The sequence below is a fragment of the Homo sapiens genome, chromosome 8, assembly GCF_000001405.40.
Source record: "Homo sapiens chromosome 8, GRCh38.p14 Primary Assembly".
NCBI classification, from domain to species: Eukaryota; Metazoa; Chordata; class Mammalia; order Primates; family Hominidae; genus Homo; species Homo sapiens.
Window position 1 is genome coordinate 120,742,486 of NC_000008.11, and position 22,677 is coordinate 120,765,162.

Genomic DNA, 22,677 nt, shown 5'->3' on the forward strand with positions numbered 1-22,677 from the left:
AAGGGATCGAGTCACAGGATGGCACCTGAGCATCCCTGTCTCAGCTCAGGACTCCTTGCTGAGCTTCCTCCTACAGCTGAAGGTACAGCATAAGTTCTCCACCTTTCTCACATTGGTGAACTCTTCTAAGTCATATGGGCAGTGTTTCATTCAGCTGTTCTTTTCAGGAGCTTTATTTAAATGGTGCCTTTACAGACTGGAGTAATGAATTTGCCTCTTACAGTAAGACATTTCCTTCCTTTTTCCAGAAATTAACAGACTGATAGGTATCTTTTAGATAGGGAACTTTACACAAAGAAGGTGCTAAACACTGCATGCATCTCTAAACACTAAACTAGGGCTCTCTTCTGGGTCTTGCAGAGAGTGGGGAGGACAGATCAACTCACACCTTGGGAGTGTTGGTGAGGAACAAGTGAAACCAACAGTGATCTCTGGGGACCAGCATAAAGCCAGATACGAATTTCAAAAATTCATATTTTTGAAAATGAGAAGAGGAGAGGTACAGAGACTTTCAAGTGTGCAGAAGTAAGATATTTAGAAAAAAGTAAAGTGAGGTAGGAGTCTACTGCAGGGAGCTCTCTGGAGGATCTTTAGAGGTCACCACAGGGACTACCATTTCTCTGAAAGCAAGTCAGTGACTGTACTATAGAACAGAAATTCTTCTTTATGGGTTTTTCTGCTCAATTGTTCCACAAGGAAACTTCTGATTAGTAGAGACCAAATATGTGAGGACAATCCTAGTGAAGTTTAATCTTCAAAGGACACAGATCTCATAGACTGGCTGACTGTGTAATTGGATGACTGTGTTTTATTATCATTTGGGGTCAGGAAATTGCACGTAGCACAGAGGTAATTATAAAACACGGTTTTGTAATTATAAAACACCCTTTCCTTTGTTTCTTGATTGACATTCTTGATATCTGGCCAGCATTACTCATGTTAACTGATATCCGCAATGCAGGCAGGAGTGATCGGACTGTATTAATGGAAAGTTGCATAAGGGGTCATGCAAAGACCTGTGTTTAAAGGGTTGTGCCTCAGTGAAGGAAGATGAAATTCTAATGGAGTTTGATTTGCAGCAAAGGTAGAAGTAGTAATTCCCTGTTTCCTGATAAAGTAAAACCCCCTTTCAATCTATGAATGAAACATTCAATAAAAAGCAGGTGGTCTAATGACAGAGGCACTTTTAGAGGTGTGGGGTTTTTCTGGGTGTCATCATTACAACGTTGGCAGGTGGCAATGAAATAGCCAAAATCTGTTCCTAAACTTGTGTATCTCACACTAAAGTACGGAGCCCACTACTATTATATCACAGGGTCCAATACAATAAAATGTCATTTCTTTATAAAAATTTAATTTGGGTCTGGGTGCAGTGGCCCATGCCTGTAATCCTAACAGTTTGGGAAGACAAGGCAGGAGGATCGCTTGAAGCCAGGAGTTCAAGACCAGCCTGGGTGACATAGTATACTTTGTCTCTACACAAAATAAAAATTAGTTAGCCGGCCATGGTGGCATATGCCTGTGGTCCCAGTTACTTGGGAGGCTGAGGCAGGAGGATCGCTTGAGCCTAGGAGTTTGAGGCTGCAGTGAGCTAAGATCGTGCCACTGCACTCAAGCCTGGGTGACCCTGTCTCAATTTTTTTTTTTTTTTGCAAGGGAATCCCTCATACAAGAAGGTAATGGGATGGGGAAATTCAGGTCTTCACTTCGATTTATTTCCAGTTCCATTGGGAAGAGAAGCTGATTAAATCAATGCTTGGAAGAGTACATCTACATCTCTTACTCTAAAAATTAACTAGCACCTCTCCTTTCCTTCTAAGAACTAATGCATCCATTTAAGCAAATGAAGATCAATGTTAGCAATGCAATTTGCTGCAACAGAAAAACGTACAAAGATTCCTTGAGCTACACAAGAAAACAATCATTTGTCTTAGCCCCTCTACCAACCCTGGAAGCTGACTCATCTGCAGAAGATGGATCATTCTCACCCCCTCAGAATACAAATGCAAACCTTTCAGTTACTCTTAGTATGTTTGAAGTGGCATAAATTCAACTTCATTTTTACCAGTAAATATAATATATTGCTATCATTGCAGGGGAACTCAGTGGGAATAATTTTTCCTTCTATTTTAATATTTTATTATTTTTTAGTGTTGGTAGGTTTTTTCTGGACAAAGGAAACTTTGAATAGATACTAAACATGGATTAAGTTGGAAAATATTTCAGACTCCTAAAACCAAAACAAGCAGCAACTGCAAATCACATTTGTATGATTTGTATTTGTATTGCTGTCTCTTCTTCTATGTCCAAAGCACCTAATATTGTTGTCACATTAAAAATAATAATACAATCATATATTACATGAAATAATATAATACCATAATTTGGTAGATTTTAAAAATATAGATATCCCAAGTTCCACAGCTTTCTTTTATTATCCAAATAAAATGGCTGGTTACTCTCCATGACAACTTCTTGCCCCCAAATCCATCGTCTTTCTTGATGTCCTGAGAGACTGACCTCTGTGGGCTTCATTAACCAGTCTTGCTTGTCCTCTGACTTCTATTTGGTGCAGACATTAGGACCATAGGCAGAAGAACAAATGTGGAAAAAAAGAGGTCTCGGTGGTTATTTTAACTGTCCTGCCCAACTAGGTTCCTCTCTGCTCTTGGCTGCACAGAGCCACAAGTGTTAGCAGTGGGGCAGAGTGGAGAGTCTTCCCTGACTGCAGCTTTCATCAGCCCCTGTTGATGCATCTCCCTCTCCAGCCTCCCATGCTTGGGGTGCTGATGGCTCCCCACTGTCACTAGTCCCTGACATCATCCCCATCGTGGTTGGTTACATAACCTGGGTCACACCTCTACTCCAGCATTCCATCCATTTCCTGCCAGGACCTTGCCCGATATAGCCCCATCCTACAGACGGAGAGAAGCCAGCATTCCCCAGGGGACTTCTGAAAATTCCAGAAGAGAAGCAGAATTACATTCTGCTGTCACAGTTTGTCTGGATTCCCTCACCTAGATTAATTCTCAGACACTCCATTCACCATGACACCTCCTGGGGATGTTTCTTTTTCCACCTACTCCTTGGGAGGAGCCCTTCCTAGCTCCCTCATTTGTCAGTAACATTTTACTGAAGGCTTTAGAAACATGGAGGAGAACTCTTATTTGGAGCAAAACAGGAAATATCTTAAAATTAATTTTAGACATGATGCAATTCCTCAGCTGAATTTCTTCAGCCACCCACCCAAACCATAGTGAATTTCTCTCTGGAAGGCTTTCTCTGTAATCCTTAACAGCTGCCATGACGCTGGACACTCTCTCTCACCCCAAAGTCTTGTCCCACTGCCCCCGTATCTTTACTGCCTCTAACTGCTGCCTCTCCTCCCAAGAGTTACTCCGTCATGCACCCTATTATTGCTCTGTTTTGGTCTGAATCTAATCCTTACAGACCATGCCCAAGGGTCTATCCCAGGGGTTGGTTCACCCCAGCTCTGTGGGTCCAATCCACCTGTGTTTGTAAATAAAGTTTTATTGGAACACAGTCACACTCATTATCCACGACAGTTTGGTGCCACTGCAGAGTTGAGCAGAGTTGAGCCTTGAACAACATAGGTTTGAACTGCATAGGTTCACTTATACTTGGACTTTCTTTCATCTCTGCCACCCCAATGCAGCAACACCAACCCCTCTTCTTCCTCCTCCTCCTCAGCCTACTCAACATGAAGATGATGAGGATGAAGACCTGTATGATGATCTACTTTCATTTAATGATAGTAAATATATTTTCTCTTCCGTATGATTTTCTTAATAACATTTTTTTCTCTAGCTTACTTCATTGTAAAAATACAGTACATAATATATATATAACATACATAATATATGTTAATTGATTATGCTATTGGTAAGACTTTGGTCAACAGTAGGGTATTAGTGGTTAAGTGAGTACAGAGTCAAAAGTTATATGTGAATTTTCAATAGCGCAGAGATTGCTGCCCCAAGCCCCGTGTTGTTCAAGGGTCAACTGTGGTTGCAACAGAGATCTTATAACCCACAAAGCCTAAAATATTTACTCTTTGGCTCTTTACAGAAAAAATTTACCTACCCCAGCTTTAGCTTTTCACATCTAAATAAACCAAGTGGTCATTTTTCTAAATAAAAGTTACAGTCTTTCCTTAAGATTAACTGTGCCGTTTACTATGATATCAAGATGAATAGACAGGCAGCTTTCAAAATAATGATTTCTTTCCGTTATTCAGTATAATAAACATTCAGTATTACTGGACATGGGAGAAATGGCATTTCCTATATTCAGGCTATAGACTGAAACCATGTTTCCAGGGACAGTTTAATCATCTTGAAAATGTGCATGGTGTTTAGTCCATTCATGCAACTTTAATTAATTTATCCTAAGGAAATCAGTAAGTATTGAACAAGGATTCAGTCAGTCACAAGGATGTCATCATGAATAGTTTGTAATAGGGAGCAACATGCACAGCAACAACTGTTGTAGATCTAGGCACGGAATACTCGGAAGCAATGAATTGTTTTTTCAGAGAAAAATGTCCATGGTGTATTTTTAAGTAAAAAAGAAAAAAAAAGGCAGGTTAAAATACAGAATATATCACATGGTCTTATTTATTATTTTTGTTTAAATAGGCATACCCCATATACACCATGGAATACTATGCAGCCATAAAAAAGAATGAGATCATGTCCCTTGCAGGGACATGGATGGAGTTGAAGGCCATTATCCTTAGCAAATTAATGCAGGAACAGAAAACCAAATACCACATGTTCTCACTTATTTATTGATTTATTTTTAAGACAGGGTCTTGGTCTGTCGCCCAGGCTGGAGTGCAGTGGCACAATCTTGGCTAGTTGTAACCACCATCTCCAGGGTTCAAGCGACTCTCATACCTCAGCCTCCTGAGTAGCTAGGACTACAGGCGTGCACCACCATGCCCGGCTCATTTTTGTATTTTTAGTAGAGATGGGGTTTTGCCATGTTGGCCAAGGTGGTCTCAAACTCCTGACCTCTATTGATCCGCCTGCCTCAGCCTCCGAAAGTGCGAGGATTACAGGCATGAGCCATCACACCAGGTCCATGTTCTCACTTATAAATGGGAACTAAATGATGAGAACACATGGACACATAGAGGAGAACAGCACATACTGGGGCCTTTCAGAGGGTGGAGAGTGGGAGGAAGGAGAGGATCAGAAAAAATAACTAATGGTTACTAGGCTTAATACCTGGGTGAAGAAATCTGTACAACAAATCACCATGACACAAGTTTACCTATATAACAAACCTGCACATGCACTCATGAACTTAACATAAATTTCAAATTAAAATATAAAAAAATAGGCAAACCCATACACACATATGTATATACACACAAAATAGTCTAGAACAATGTACTAATTTTTAAACATGGTTGTCTCTGGGTAGATATAAAATTATTATTTTTCTTCTTTCTTTCTTTACTCTTTCGCCATAGAAAAGATATATTATGCATTGCTAGTTATTTTCTGTGTGATGAGCTCTTGAATGGACTTGTTTGCCAGAGTTTAAGTGTTTGATGCCTGCTAAAGAATAACTGTTTGCTTTTCTAAATAACTCAAACTTTTCACTTCCCTTTCTCTTGTGCAACCAGGCATCCTCTCAGATAAATTAGTTTGACTCTACTCAAATAAGCTCTGTTGTGGCAACAGTGGACATCCTGTCCATTCTACTCATGGTAAAGTCTCCTGTATCCTCTGTATTAGATCAGGAAGTTGTTTGTTTTGGAGTGGGTTTTTTTTCCTCCCTCCTTTTTAACTTGTTCTAAATATATATCTATCCACATAAATAGAGATGACAAAATATAAAAAATTTGGTCGTCATCCTTCCGTAGTCTGGGAACTGCAGTGTGGAAATTCAATACAAAGGATCTGTTTTCTGAAGCATCTGGCTCACGCAGGAATTGTAAAGACTAGAGGGAAAGGGATGGTGAAGTGATTTGCTGTCTGGAAAAGTCAGATTCATGGATCAGGGGGACTTTGACTTCACAGGACCCATAATACAGTACATAACATACAAAATATGTATGTTATAAAGCTGCCCATAGAAGAAGAAATGTGTAAGCCCTTCAATTTACTATGAACCTTCAAGGCAGATAATTCCAAAGGAAAATAAAAAATGGAAATTTCTTCTAGGGGTTATGCTGTTAATGCTTCATTACCCAGCAAAAGACTAGAATGGCACTAAAGACATATCCTTGTTTTATTGTGTAGGGCAGCATTCTAGTTTCATTAAACATGGCATAGTAAGAAATAGCCCAGGCATTGCAGCCAGGCAGACTCAAGCATTTAAGTCCCTGGCCATGCAACTTCACAGCTGTGGGACTTCCAGTAAGTCATTTGCACTTGTCTGAGTCTAAATTTTTCTCTTCTACAAATTATAGGAAGAATACTACCAACCTTGTAGTGATTTTTGTTATTGTTACTGATTATACAGGCAACGGGTAGTATGACACCTGGCACCCAATAAGAACATAATACAAGTGAATCAGTAATCATATAAATCTAAATTATAAAAAATTATAATGACTTATAACAGTGGTTATAATAATAATCTTCTAGTTTGCCTGATTTTTCAAAATTGAATCAAAGGAAAGCCTGGAAAAGAACGAGAAGACGTCCTTCAACAGATTAGTTAGGAGGTCTCGGCTGTAGCCTATTTCTAGCTAGTTCTTCCAAAGACCCGTTTTCTCCAATTTTTAAAATTTGCTTGGGCAAACCACTGATTGCAGGAGGTAGTAAAAAGGAAAGGGAAAGCATTCTCTTTCTTCTGTACATGTTTGCAGAATCTAGTTGTGGCCAAGGCTAAATCTTAAATTATTCCTTTCACTGTACACTAGCAGTTGGCCAAACTGCTTACTGAAAAGTCAACTTATTTTAAGGAGGCTACTTAAATATATTGATTTTTCCATGTCTAGAAGTTGGATCAATATACTCTGCATAAACCACTACAGCCTCTCTATGTATCTACGTGATGTATCTTATTCTATTTTTTTCTGGTAGTATCTTGTGGCTGTCTGTATGCTGTGAAGAGGCCCTCTCTTGTGGTTGCCTGTTGAGTTTTTTGGTTATTGAGAAAGTCTTATGAACAACTGTTGATAAAGGTTTGCAAAAAAGGAAACTGAAACAGACTCAGGGGAAGTTAGAAGCCAAATATCTTTCTTGTCTTTACATTTCCGCTGCAAGTCTAGGTGTGGCTCAGCAACTGCAATATGTGGGTTGGCTTGAAACATTAGTACGGAAAGGTCTGTGCTGCTCTTGGAATTCCTGTCTGCTAATTCCTGTGAACTTACCTAACTCCTCATGAGTCTAGATTCTGTTTCTTTTTCAGGTGCAAAAACTGTCCAAGTCTTTGACTCAAAGCCATAACATGGTTCTTTCTAAGTTTTAAAGTTTTTGCTTTATAAACCTCTAGCAATCACAGAACATGAACAGAAATTTCCACCTGCAAATTTTTAGTCATATAGCCCAATTATTTTAATTATTAAGAAGTACTAAGAAAGCTTGGTTGAGCTTGCAAGGCCAGCCCTTCCTGTCAGAGACAAATTATTCAATTACTAAAGTGAATAATCCCTCCCTCCCTCCCTCCTTCCCTACGTCCCTCCTTCCCTCCCTCCCTTCCTTCCTTCATTCATTCCTTCCTTTTCACCATTGCCCGCTTCCTTTACTTATTCCCTTAAACCTTTGTATCTCCAGCACCCTGTGCCCAGGGTCTGGTGATAGCAAAAGCTCAACAAGTATCTTGAATTAGTGTATTTATACAATTAATCATTTTATGGAGAGTGTCTACAATGTGAAATGAATTGCTGAGCTCCTAACTGCCCCAACACCGATTGATTTGCCTGAAATTCCTTCATTGGTGATTTATTTGTTGAACTGGTTTCTCTAGGTTTCACCTTATGTTGATAACACACAAAATTCTTATCATTCATCAAAATCAAATTTGTCTTTTCATATTCACTGTCTCTTAAATCGCTGTCCTCAGATGCAGGTCACTGTGCTCTGACTTGTAATAATGTTGCCAATACAGTTTGTAAAGGGACCTCTGACTCTTGGGAGAAAGATGCTGCCGAAAAGGGAATTGATTATAAAATAATTGAATACACTGGGGTGTATCTGGCCTTCTGTTTAAATGAAATTGACTCACCAAGGGTCATGAATGCTCATTTGTTCAGAGAAGAAGGATGCTGAGAGATAAGAAAGAGAAGAGGAAGGGACATTTCCATCTATCATGAGGTGTCAGGTGGAAAATGAAAGGCTGGCTTCCCTCTTCCAAGCAGAATCAGCTTTATGCATTAGGAAGGAATTTAAGTATGGGGAAAAGCTCCTGCAGAATCTAAAAGAATCCCCCTTCCCCAAGCTACCCCCCATCTGGATATATTACAATTCAGATGTTGAAAACACATACAATCAGCCTGCTACTTAACTATTATGACGTTGTCTTCTAAGAAGCAGAAAAATCCTATTATCTATGGCTAAAGGATTCCATCTAATAACTGACCTATGATCACCCACTGTCAGCTTTAGAGAACAAGGTATCAAGGAACAGAGAGTCACAGAATGGAGAAGTTCTGATGGAGGAGAGATGATGAAGTGAGATTCAGTGCTTAAGTAAAAAGTGGAGTGAGGACGCTAAGTTATCTCAGGAGAGGGAAGAAGGGGGAGTAAATGTGAAAAGACAAACTGAATTTTGATGGAAATCTGATATGTGATGGATGTTGTCCACATTAAGATGACACCTAAAAAAACTATGCAAGGATATTAATTACTAAGGAAGGAATTTCTGACACGACAACTGGGTAGAGGATATCCTTTCAGACAGGAGGGTTTTGTGAAGGCTCTGAAGTTACTTATTCTATGTGTCTATTCCTACTTCTTTTTATTACTGCACATTCAAATAGCCATACGAATTAAATCTTAAAGGATACTTTTTTTTTGTGCAAGAAATCTGTCCCCATGATCATTTCTGCACCTGCTATGGTGACAATATTGTTATTGGCACTGGAAGTAAATGTCTGGTCTTACAACTGGCCCCCAATTTTTCTTTACCCATAAGCATTTGACTTATGTTGAAAGCTTCCTTCTAATGAACTATTATATATACATTTATATATAGAAATTCCTGACCACCAGCTCCATCACTTACTAGTTATATCTTCTCGAGTCACCTACTTAACCTCTATAGGCTTCCATTTATTTCTCTGCAAAATGGTGATAACAATAGTATGAGGTTTAAATGAAAAAAAATATGCAAGGACTGAGTACAGTGTCTGCACACAATGGGTGCCCAATAAATAGCAGTCATTATGATCAGGTCGCTTTTTCAACCCATTCTCACTTGTTCATCTTGTTCTGGCTGAAAGCAGTTAATGGAAAATGGTGCAACTCAGCACACAGCTCAGCATGTCATTTAAAATGTTGTAGACGATCTTGGCATTATAACCTGCTGCCAGTTGTTAGTGATCGTCTTATTTTTCTTCTTGCCCATAAACCTCTCCCAAACACTGGTTTGTCTCATTAAAAATGACATACACAGTGAGAAGAGAAGAACATCAAATTGAGAGAGATAATTAGCAAGAGCCAAGCCTAAGAGAAGGGCAGGTGTATGTGGTTCATTAGGCCAAAAGGGAATGAAAATCCAATTGGATCTCAGATCAGGCACCTTGGCTAAGTTAAAGCTCACAGAAATGCTGAAGTTAGCACATTATAATATATCTGTGTATATGTATATATGCATATATCATATATATTGTTTCATACCTATTATATATGTAATATTTAAAAAATCACATTTTTGTGTCTTAGCACATGAACATCAATTTCCTCTTCAGTAAAGTGAGAATAACTTCCCTGACCACCCTCATAAGAATTTGATCCATCAATCTCATTATTGAGTATATATCTAAAGGAAAATCAATCATTCTAGGAAAAAGACACACTCACAACTATGTTCATTGTAGCACCATTCACAGTAACAAAGAAATGAAATCAACCTAGAAACTCATCAATGGAAAACTGGACAAGAAAACTGTGATACAATGTTATTCCATACACACTACAGAATACTACACAGCCATAAAAAAGAATGAAATCATGTTCTTTGTAGCAACATGGATGCAGCTGGAGGCCATTATCCTAAGTTAATTAGGATATCCTAAGTTAATTAATGCAGGAACAGAAAACCAAATACCACAAGTTCTCACTTATAAGAGGGAGCTAAACACTGAGCACACATGGACATAAGTAAAGGAACAATAGGCACAGGGGCCTACTTGAGGATGGAGGGTGGGAGGAGGGTGAGGATTGGTAAACTACCTATTGGGTACTATACTCGCTACCTGGGTAATGAAATAATTTGTACACCAAACCCCAGCAACATGCAATTTACCCATGTAACAAACCTGGATATGCACTCCCTGAGCCTAAAACAAAAGCTGGAAGAAAAAAAAAAAAAAAAAAAAAGACTTGTTTTTACTGGAAAAGAAGCAATATGTGCTCCTTTCCAAGATTTTCCTTGGGGTTGCTAAGCCTGATGGCACAGGGTGTTTCAGAGGCCCTGGAGGAACATCACAGTTGGGCCATCACAGGCAGTTTGGGCATAGAAATCACCTGTGTCAATCCTGAGGCACCACATTAAACTACTGTTTGAAACTCATATAATACACACCAAGGAAAAATGGTTAAGTGTATCAGACCAGTCCACCCACATGCTAGGTTCCTTCCAGCATCATGCCTTCAAGATGGTTTGAAACATGGTAATGATATAATTGCGTAACTTTAAAAAGTTCTTCCTTTATGCTGTCTTTGGTCTTCCAATGCCCACTCCACCTCCCAGACTTGTAACCCCATCTCTTTACTCCACCAACAAAATCCAATCTCCAGTTCAAGTCCTTCACCTTCTCTGAAAAATCTACGCTAAATCCTCCTCTTAAGACCTGCCCTATTTCTCAATAGCACTACTGTGTAGCTCCAAACTGTCAAATAATCCCATGTGTATAATCTTGTCACCTCAACAAAATGGGAAGTTCCCTGAGGGCAGGAACAGAACTTCGGTCCCACAGTGCTTGGTACATTTTCCCTGTGAACAGTAAGGGGAGAATAAGCAAGGCAGAGAGTAGCAGCAGATAAGATCAGAGAAGCATCAGGTGTGTGCGGTCAGCAGAACAACGATCAGATCAAATTCTTCTGGGAAGCAAATAAATGCATACTAGAGGGACTTTAATGATGAAACAAGCCACACATTTAACATTTTAACCAGTGGATCCACACATGTGTCTTATCTTATGCCTTAGATATGTGCCTAAAAATTTGTGTATACAATGAATTTTTCCTAATCAAGCTGAAATATCAAAAGATAGGAGCGAATTATTCTATCAAGGAAACCCTGTGACTGATCCTGCAATCATAGATACATTCATTCTAATTTGTCTCATCAATCTAAATTTGGGAGTATGATGCCTACTTACATCAGGGACTAAAGTTTGTAAACTAATACCATGGATAAAAGAAATTTCCCAAAGTCTTCTACTTCTGGCCTGCTGATAGTAACTCACTTTCTATTTGAAACTATAAATACATGGCCAGAGGCTGCATCACAGAGAATAGAACCTGAAAAATTATCTCACTCTCACTCAGGTCCTGATGGAATCATATGGGGGAATAGTTAAGAAATATAGTTAAGAAATAAAGTTCTCCCAGCACTTTAGGAGACTGAGGCAGGTGGATTGCTTGAGTCCAGGAGTTGGAGACCAGCCTGGGCAACATGGTGAAAACAAGTGTCTACAAAAAAAATCAAGAAAAACATTAGCTGGGTGTGGTGGTGTATGCCTGTAGTACCAGCTCCTGGGGAGGCTGAGGTAGGAGAATTGCTTGAGCTATAGTGAGCTGTGATTGTGCCACTGCACTCCAACCTGGGCAACAGAGTGAGACCCTGTATCAAAAAAGAAAGAAGAAGAAGAAAAAGAAATCTAGTTCTGGGATTGAGATTCCTTGTCTAAGTCTCAATTTTCTTATCCCTAAAGTGGGGATAAGAATTGTTCCAAATTCAGAGGGTGATTCTGAAGATTAAATGACATCATGCATGTGAAGTGTAGATGTAGAGAGTATATGAAGGCAAAGCGAATGTGTAATAAATGTTACTCACTATTATCATGAGAAAAGCAATGGGAGAAGCTGGTTTGAAGGCCAGTCCTTCAGTGTACTGTCTGTGCCCAGGGCACAAACAAGATCATAAGCAAAGGCTACAGAAAGGTACATGAGTTTAAGAATTCAATTACTACTTTCCTTCCCTAATATTAGGCTGGGAACTTGCATCATTTAATACATTATGGACTGTAGAGTTGTAAATGAGGAGGAAAAGACGACAAGCAAGATTATGAGTCAGCAGGAACATTTAAAAAAGACACAATTTTGACTTGCACATGGAAGAAACTGGTATAATAAAAGATGCTCCAGTGAAATACAAGCAACCTTTGTATCCGAGGCAATGGTGTTGGTTCTCATGTCACCCAGTGTGGTTGCAGTGGCCTTCACACAGTAGTGACACAGTGGCCTTGACACAGTGCGTAAATGTTGAGTCTAAGCTATGCTGTGGTGTTGTGTGTGTGTGTGTGTGTGTGTGTGTGTGAGAGAGAGAGAGAGAGCGAGAGAGAGAGAAGAAAGAGAGAGAGAGGGTTCCATCCAAGGGGATTATAAAAAGAAAAGGTAGGACAATATCCTGCCCTAGAGCACTTATGTTCTGGGTGTAGATTGAACTAAACACTAACATAATAAGGCAATAGCTATCAGAACAATAAATGGTAAGGGCCAAGTGAGTGGTATTAACAGAAGTGGCTTGGGGATTTCAGAGGAGGAGGGTGTGCCATGGGCTGTCATGATCAGGGAGAGCCAAACTATATTGGGCTGGATGCTTAGCTCTGGAGGTTATGGTAGACAGGTCCATCTGGGACCACAAACTAAATATTTATGTGAAGTACATTTGAGTTCAATGTGAAAAGGGGCAATTTAATGAACAGACTGTCAAAAAAGGAAACTCATAAGACGAGGAACTTCCCATCTTAAAAGTCTTCTGTCACTAGAAAACAATAATAAAAATAACAATTATAATAGTAGTAGTGGTGGTGGTGGTAGTGATACCAGGAACTATGCCAAATGCATTTTCTCACCTATTACTTACGCTAACTCTATGAGGTAATAAAGGTAACAACAGGTAACACATAGTAAGTACTATGTTCCAAGTTATGTTCTAATAGCTTTACAGACATAACTTCATTTAATTCTCCCAACAACCAATAACTGGAAGAAATAGTGCTATTATAACCCCCATTTGCCAGATAAAGGATAAGAAGTCTCGAAGATGGTAAATAAGTCAACCAAGGTCACATTGTTGAGCTGAATTCCAGCAAGTGGTTGAGCTAGAATTCAAACCAAGGTCAATACAGCTCCAGGGTCTGTACTCTTAAGATCAACGGTGCATCATCTCCATGGATTGCTATCTTTCAGAGGTACTGTGAAAGAGATGCCTACATTGGAGCATTCTGGACAAGATGACCTTCCCTTCTGTGAACCATAATGAGCATATCCAACATAGTCAATCTCTACCCTTCTACCTCCAACATCATTTTCTCTTTCCTTATTTGTTTTAATTTTTAATACACTTAATACAACTGACATTAAAGCATCTATTTATATTTGTTGTCTGTTTCTTACACTGGAATGTACATTCCATGAGGCCAGGGACTTGGTCTTGTTTACATCTGTATCAATGCCTAAAATAGCAATTTTTTTCAATGGATGGATGGACAGGTGTAAAGCGATGGATGGACAGCTAAGGTGGTAAAGATGGGTAGGATTTAGTTTGATGCAGGACACTCACTGGGGTAACGATGTGATAAAATATTCAGAAGTGCTTATTCACAGAGTGGGCTTTGGGAGGGGGAATTAACCTGATCTGGATGGGTAGAAGGTGAGTACAACAGAGTAAGGAAAAGTAGACTACAGCCAAAATTTGGGGAACCTCAAATGCCAAGACATTTAGCCAGAGTAAGAATATAAAAACTATGTTTCTTCAATGGAGTTGAATGAGTTGAGCTACCACTTGCAGTAAAGCCCCCAGAGAAGAGTCATCTCTGCCTTTATACCCTCTAATAGCTGACCTGGATGGAATTAACGTTCTAATTCCCTAGCTTGGGATAATGGGGCTTTTTATATCCCTCAAGACAATTGGCTTAAAACTGGAGGTAGAAAACAAGAGAAAAGCCACTGCTACATTCCCAGTGGCCTAAGTGCTGGGATTGACATCTGAGGCTTGCAAGAAAAAGAAATTGAAGTCCCAAGGTCCAATTTTTGCCCATGTGGTCAAGTCACCTCTTCATGCTGGCTTTGCCAGGATAGGAAGAACCTGATCTTTTGCTCCATGGGCATGGGATGGAATATAAATTCTCTAACCACATTTTCCTTTCCTTTGGGGTGCCAGGAATTGATATAAGAATAATAATGACAGTAACCACAGTTACTGTTTATTGTACATCTACTATACGCCAGGCCTTGGGCTAAGGACTGTGCATAACTAATCCCTAATCCTTACAACAACACTGAAAGAGGCTGAGTCAATTTCTCAAGGTCATACTTTTACTCAGTAGGAGAGACACATGAATCAAAACAGATCTATCGGGTTTCCCAAACCTGTTTGCTGCTGAAAGGACTGCATTCCTACATGATACTGGGTGATTGGTCTGCAGTAACCAGGCCAGCTGAGCAATGATTAAGGGGAACTCTGTGGACTAAAGCAGGGTGAGAGATGGCAAGGTGATTACAGAGGTTAAAGAAAAGGAGGAAATAAGAAGTCTACAAGGGTCCTGTTAGAGCTGAAAACTGGAATAAAAGGTAACTCAGAGACAGGAGACCTGGGTCAGTAGAATGTTGTAATGTGCCAAGTAGTCAGACATGACAGCTGCATTTAAACATCTGAAAGGTCACAAATGAGAAAGAACTGATTCATTTCGTGTTTCAGGAGAAGATCAAAGTAGGAAGCACGAGTATTCAGTTTAAATTTATGAAAGCACTCCTAATCACCCCAGATGTCTCTAGCAGTTTCTAGTTGTGTCAGCTTAACAAGTCTTCCCTTCTTCTGTGAAAAACTTCCCTCTATTCCAACTGTAATGTTCTAGTGAGGGTATCTTTCCTTCCTGGCCACTGTGACCACAGAGGTATAGACACTGGATTAAAGTTAAGCTAATCAGATTTCTCCCTACCATGGGGAACTTAAGAAACAGAAAGAAGACATCCCAAATGTTTTCTAATTGTGAAGCAGGGACATGTGAGCTTGGAAGTTAGTGATGGCCATGTTTTTCGCTAAGTGGGAAAGACACTCTGAAAGATTAAAGGAGAAGAACAGAGAAAACTGGAAAGAAAAGTAGTAACAGCAGTGGTATTGGTGGTGATACCAGGAACCATGCTAAATGCATTATCTCATTTATCGCTTCTGCTAACCCTATGAAGTAATAAACGTAAAAACAAGTAACACATATTGGGCACTTACTATGTTCCAGGTGATGTTGTAATAGCTTTACATAGAGAAAAGGAAGGAGGGAAAAAGATGAAAAATTAATTATTGATTTCCAATATTTAAATCTTATTTATATTCACTCTTGAAATTTGCACTTCTCAAATTTTGTCAAGAGAGCTAATAAATATTGTTTTTGCTTAAACAAATTGATTGTGTCACTTGCAAACCCAAGATCCCTGACTAATGCAGTGTCTAACACTGACACACATGGGTTGAGGGGAGGATATGAGTTTCTCACCTCCAGACATATTCAATAAGGGCCTGGATGATGATAATAAGAGACAGATTTCATTAAGGTGACTTTACATTGAGTTAGAGGTCCTCATCAAATCTATACTCTGTGAGAGATTCAAGAGAGTCAATATCATGTTCCTTATTTGTGCTTTAGTTACTTTTGCATGGGTTATTTGCTTCACTATTTCTCCAGCTCCATTAATATGCAATGTAATATACTGATGGCCCATGGACAAGATCTGCTGGGTGGATTTCACAATCACTCTGATAAAAAATATAAGGTGGCAAGGGAATATACCTGTTTCCAGGCCAAACCACAACATAGTGTACAGTCAGAATTGCAATTTGGGGACACAGCCAGAGAGACTCAAGGACACTACTCAATTGCAGACTAGGCAAACCTTAATATACTGTGGCCTACACAGGGGGCCCAAGAGTGGTCACCTAACTTTCCTAAGGAATCTGGACCTCAGGGAAGTTGTGATTAATTAATAAAGAACTCCATATTGTATATTTCCTTGTTGTCTGCATCCATCCTATCATCTAAGTCCAGCATGGACCCTCCTTGGCAGCAACCCACTTATTTATTTATTTATTATTATTTTATAGAGACGGTGTCTTGCCATGTTGCCTAGGCTGGTCTTGAACTCCTGGGCTCAAGCAATCCTCCACCCTCAGCCTCCCAAAGTGCAAGGATTACAGGCATGAGCCACCTTGCCCAGCCCCAACCCACTTTAGCTAAGGAGGCATTTCTGACATCTTATAGCTGTTGTTAATAACAACAAGGACTGAAAGAATTTCCATCCAGGCCAGAGACAAAGTTCTGAAGTTCTCCTATTCTCCACAGAGATAATAACATACATGTATTATAGGACATACATGAGCTAAACAGTTTGTGGTTTATCTTTCCTTTTACTTGAAATACCTTCAGAGGGCAAAGCAAGTGGGTGAACACTGCTGGCAGAGTTCACGATCAACCTAGAAATGTCCAAGCATTCTACCCTTTATAAATGTTTAGGAAACTCTCACTGGTCTCTACTTTCTGAAATTAGGTTGATGGTTTGCTTTGAATACTTTTCTGATACATGAGTCCACTCTTTCCTTAAATTAGCATACTTCTTGATAACTGAAGAATAAAAAAAATCACAATGAACAAAGTATGCGTGTTTGAAAGTGGCATTACAGTACTGAAGTGGCCACAGCAGCCATAACTGTTGGAAGGATTGGAGCTGAAACTTCTCAGTTCTCAGGAAGCGCAATACATCAATGTCCACCTGAGCCTGGCACTCCTAAAAAGATCCAGCCCTTGGATCATCATCAAGAAGTTCCTGTTCTACCAAATAGGATGAGCTCCAATGACTTCCTGTGGCCCAAGACGAACTTCATAGCCTTTCATTCTGAACCACTCCGTTAAATTCTTATTTGGTTGGCCCTCTAGTGTTCCCCACAAGCCTAGAGTCTCCTTGAGAGAAGGCCTATGTCTTCACTCATCTCTAAATGTGAGGATCCTCTCCAGCCCTTGACAGGTGCCCATCATTTGATTTTCAACTCAAGCACAGTGTCAAGGGATTCAAACTTAACCAGGACCTATGTCTAGAGTGTACTAAAAAGCAGCCATTTCTGTAAAGGGCCAGATGATAAATAACTTAAGTTTTGTTGGCCATACAGTCTCTGTCACAAATACTCAATCTGCCATAGACTACATAAACAAATGAGAATGGCCATGTTTTAACAGAATTTTATGAACACAGTATTGAAGTTTGATATTGAATTTGATATAATTTTTACATGTCACAAAAAATTATTTAAAATTTTTTCAATCATTTGGTAATGCCTGAAAACATGCTTAGCTCACAAGCTATACAAACACAGGTGGTAGACTTTGGTTTCTGGTTCTGTAAATAAAGATCATGGTATTTGTCACTCCTGTCCTCACAATAAGAAACAAGCCAAAAAAAAAAAAAAAACCCTGAAAATCAACAATTCTTAGGTCTATCAGAGAAGTGAGGTTACAGATCAAATCACCACTGCTAAAACCGAAGAGGGGGTAGATACAAAGAATTATATCTTACTTGGGGCAGAAATCTCACTGGAGCCAACATTGGGTAGACATATTTAAAGGATAATTTACTAATTACTGGAGACCGAGCCTGGCCTAGCTTCAGAAATTAAAAACTCCTGGAGACCCAGCCTGAGAGAGGTGGGTGAGGCACATTTGTATGAGTTTTACCTGCTGAAGCTTAACCAGGTTTGCACTGTAAAGGTCAAAGAAAAATCCCCTCATCCTTCCTGCAGGGGAGGGGAAAAGTAACCATTTTTAAATACACCCAGACTGTTCTGTTCTCCTTAACACGACCTGTCTTTGAGGGAGACTATTTTACCAGAGCCTAACCTAGTAAGATTTTATCAGAAAGAGCCCATCTGACCTGGAAAAAGGGAAATACCCAACTCCAGCCCCATCTAGCCTTCCTGTCTCATTTACTAAGGGGTGAAAAAAACCCTGAAGACCTTGTGAATAATTTTATATAGTAAAATTTATTGATATTTAAAATTTTTTCTGCATGAAAAAATACCGTAAACAAAGTCAAAAGACAAATAGGAAACAGATTTACAACTAACAAGAGGCTAATTTCTTAAAACTATAAAGAACACACGCAAAAGTTAAGCAGTCCGACAGAAAAATGAGCAAAGACTATAAACAAGGAAAGGAATTAAAAGGTTCTTAAATCTATAATGATGGAGTCATTAAAGACTGAGAGCAAATCATAGGGTTATTGGGTGCTTCCCCATTACCACCACCTCCATTTTAGCGCCATATCAATAGGATTCCCGTATAACAGAGGATGATAGCTGAAAAGAACTGCAAGGCTCAGATTCTATTTATAAAGGAGTCTCCAGGGAAACCCAAGACAACAGGGACCCCCTAAAAACAAGGACACCAGCAGAAATTTTAGCCTCTGACACCTACAGTTACAGCAAACAATAAACACAGACTAACTTCTAGGCAAATAAACAAACAAGAGATGGTAAGCTGGAATTGACCCACAAGCCATAGTTAACTCCTATGTTAGCAGCTCCGAGCATTCAACACTAATCTCTATAGTTGCAAATAGGAAGCTCCGGCTCAAATGGAAAAATTGATCTAGACTTTGCCCAGAAGGGAGAATAATGGGTGGTCTGTAGACATACATACCTAACCACAGTTCTTTTATTTTTGATCATTTAAAATTATTCTATAGCACATAAAATTGAAAAAGAAAAAGAGAAAACTTGGAACACATTGTATTACCCAAATGTATCAAGTATTTTTAATAGGAGAGATCTCTTCCGCACCTTGACCATATACATATGGGGTGATCATCAGGTAGATGCCAGCTGGAAGAAAACTGCTTTTTTCAGTCATCACTTCCCAGACATTTTCTTACACTATGGTACAAGTTCTACGATTATAACATTGAATAGATATAGGATACTTGATGGGGCACCCAGAGACTTTTAATAGAAGTATTTCTTTTTTATTAAAATAGTAACTCAGACTAAGATGCAGGATTCACATCAAGGCTGGGTTCCAGCAGTCTGTGTATTTCAGCTCATGGATTTCTAGTTCTTAATAAAAATAAAGCCACTGGAAGAGGGCCAATATGATTCTTTACCAAAAATGTCTCTGATACATTTTCAAGAACAACCTGTTTTTCTTAACTTCTCAGTTTTCCATTTCTGGTGGGGCAATACCCACGTTTAGAAGCCACCATTGCAATGAATTCCAGAGGACTGAATTTGATTACTCATTATGTCCTGGCTTTCCTTTAAAGATTTATTACAGTATATTTCAAGACACACATAAAAGAGCACTAATAGCACCAGCTGGCACGGGGCATGAGACACACCAGCATTTTTATAAATGTCCTCCCTGTCACTACAGCTCTATTCACTGACAAAGGCCCTGCTGTTTTCAACCAACTGCAGGTCCAGCAAATTGCACTTAAATAGGGTGGCGGTTCTGCAAAGCAGGCAAAATGTTTACCAGGATGAGACCAGCCAGGAAACCCATTTCCTTTATCCTCTAATCAGAATGAAAAGCAGGACTGGGGCCATGAAAGGCTGTGCATTAGGACCTGATCCCTGTGCTGTCATCTCTTGTTACCTGATGAAAGAAGGGGATTGTTTGGGTTCGGAGGGTAGGGGAAAAGCTTCTCCTTGATTTTGCAATCCAGCTGCTATTCATTCATAGGCTCGTTGCCAACATGTTACTTTGCCATATGTGCCATTCATACTCTAGATTACAAATGCATGGTGCTTTGGGGCCTTATTGATTTAACAAGTAAATTTTATTAATATCTTGCCTCCATACCTCTGTAAAACCTAAGGCTATGGTCTTTGGGAACAGGTACCTTGTTTATTCTTGTTTATACCCCAGAATCCAGTACAGTGTTTAGTAGACAGTGTGCACTCAATAAATGCTTGCCGAAAGAAAAAAAATACTAGGCAATGGAATTGCATCCAAATAGAGTAACAACAAAATAACTAATATTTATCGAAAACTTAAACTTTCAAAAAATGCATAGAACTTTAAGACTTTTAAGAGTGCCTGTCAAGAATCCTATGTAGTAGGTAGTATTACTATCTCCATTTTAAAGATGGGGAAGCTGAGGCTCAGAGGTTCATAGCCAGGCACAGAATTGGATCTGAACTAGCCTTTCTGACTCACAAGCTCAGTCTCTCACCACTATACTGAACTATCTCAAAAAACTTCTTCCTCTAGAACAATTTATATGATTTCCATTAAATTTCTTTTGCTATTTATTAATAGATATCATGAATCTTATATATCGCATTACTATATGTGCTTATTTTCCAAGAACTGCCTGGTAATGATGCCCATTGTGAAAAGTAAATTTCTTCTTGGAAAGTAGATAGAGGACTGCAGAAATAAGAAATACAGGCTTCCTGGAATACTCTTAAAAATGGTTAGCTTACCAAACCCTGAAGAAAACTACAACAAGGGGTTGATTTCATTGTTAGACTAATTGTTAAAATGTTCTTTCTTCCAGGAGAAGCTGAAATTGGCTTCCTTGTAGCTTGTAGTTACACTGGTCTTTGTGCTACCCTTTGGAAAAACAAAACTAACTAGGAAAAAATTGACCTATTAAAACAATCTTAATGTGAGATATTAAACTTTCTACATATGACGTAAAATCTGCATGCCATTTAAAAGTCAATAAACTTGACTACATAACAGTTAAAAAATTTTTTCTGCATGAAAAATACCATAAACAAAGTAAAAACCAAATGGGAAACATTTGCAACTAATAAGAGGCTAATTTCCTTAAACTATAAAGACAACCTATAAGAATTAACCAACCCAAGAGAAAAATGGGCAAAGAATATAAATAGAAATTTTTTTTAGCTCTTAAATTTACAATATGATACTCAACCTATGATTTTTTTTTTGTTTATTATGTGAGCAAACACCAAAATATTTGTTTGTTTTATAGAGATGGGGTCTTGTTATGTTGTCCAGGCTGGTCTTGAACTCCTGGGGTCAAACGATTCTCCTGCCTTGGCCTTCCAAAGAAGACCAAGTGTTTGGTCACACAATGTAATGAGCAAAAATATATCATCAGAACACTGTTAGTGGAGTAAAAACTGCCATAATACTTATGGAGAGTAATTTGGCAATGTTCTCAAAGTCATAAGGTCAAATGCCTTTTGACTCAGAATAAATTCTAATTCTTGGAGTACTTTTACACAAACACAAAATGACATATTTCCAAGGTTATTCATTATAGTCTTACTTATAGCGCAAAATATTGGACTCTACAAAATGTTCAGCCAAATAAATTATGGTATATACAGTTCATCAAGAGAATAAATAATGGTATATCCATGCAATGATATACTAGCCAGCTGTTAAAAACAATGAGGCAGCTTCTCAAGTATGACTTGGAAAGATATCCAAGAAATACTCTTAAGTGAAATATTCCATGTGCAGAGAAGTATGTCTGATACGGTCTCATTTGCTTAAAAAAATAAACTAGATTACATACCCATATATGCATTATAAGCAGTGACTTTATCCAGAAGTCTACACAAAATTTAAATAGTGGGTAGTCACAGTGGTTACTTCTAAAGACAGGGGCTGAATAACTGAGAGCCAAGGGTGAAGAAAAAATTACTTTTTAGTTGTTTTTTCTTTTGCCCCTGTTGATTTTTCTAATGTTTGTATTACCAGTCAAATAAATTAATAAATACCCTTCAGTAATCCCTAGCCATTTTCAATTGCCCTACTTTCTAAATTCAACCTCTCAGAGAATATATAACAGATAAAACTCACAAAGGAAAGCTCCATCAGTTACTTTAGGACCCCACCCCAGGCCCTGCTCAGCTGAAGTAAACCCACTAGACATAAAATTATTAAATACATAAGTGTAGACTTTAATAAGTGATGCAAGAAGTTCCCATCCAAGAAAACCATCAATCATTTTGACAGATTCTTTGTTGCCTCCCTAATATCAATTCTCTCTTTCTTCACAAACATTAGAAACTCTATTTTATATGGAGTGGCTATTTTATATTCCAGTTTAAAAAAAAACTCACAGCTGGGGGCAGTGGCTCATGCCTGTAATCCTAGCACTCCAGGAGGCCGAGGTGGGCGGATCACCTGAGGTCAGGAGTTTGAGACCAGCCTGACCAACAAGGTGAAACCCCATCACTACTAAAAATAAAAATTTAGCCGGGCATGGCAGCAGGCACCTGTAGTCCCAGCTACTCAGGAAACTGAGGCATGAGATTTGCTTGGACCTGGGAGGCGGAGCT

At 38.9% G+C, this 22,677-nt stretch overlaps 1 protein-coding gene and 1 long non-coding RNA gene across 5 annotated transcripts in view; one reads left to right on the plus strand and one right to left on the minus strand.

Annotated features, from left to right (window-relative positions):
- SNTB1 (syntrophin beta 1) overlaps nucleotides 1-22,677 on the minus strand; it is a 276,291-nt gene that overhangs the window by 206,730 nt on the left and 46,884 nt on the right. Inside the window, exon 1 of one of the 4 annotated variants that reach the window (XM_047422127.1) lies at nucleotides 1-22,677. This exon is cut by the window's left edge and continues 26,612 nt beyond it; it is cut by the window's right edge and continues 14,921 nt beyond it. The exons of the other annotated variants lie outside the window; for them this stretch is intronic. The gene's annotated coding sequence lies outside the window, so the exon portion shown is untranslated. 4 annotated transcript variants of the gene reach the window in all.
- The window catches only part of SNTB1-AS2 (SNTB1 antisense RNA 2), a 15,580-nt gene continuing 11,670 nt past the window's right edge, over nucleotides 18,768-22,677 (plus strand). Inside the window, exon 1 of the long non-coding RNA NR_125419.1 lies at nucleotides 18,768-18,887. This is a non-coding gene — a long non-coding RNA (SNTB1 antisense RNA 2). The remainder of the gene's footprint in view (nucleotides 18,888-22,677) is intronic.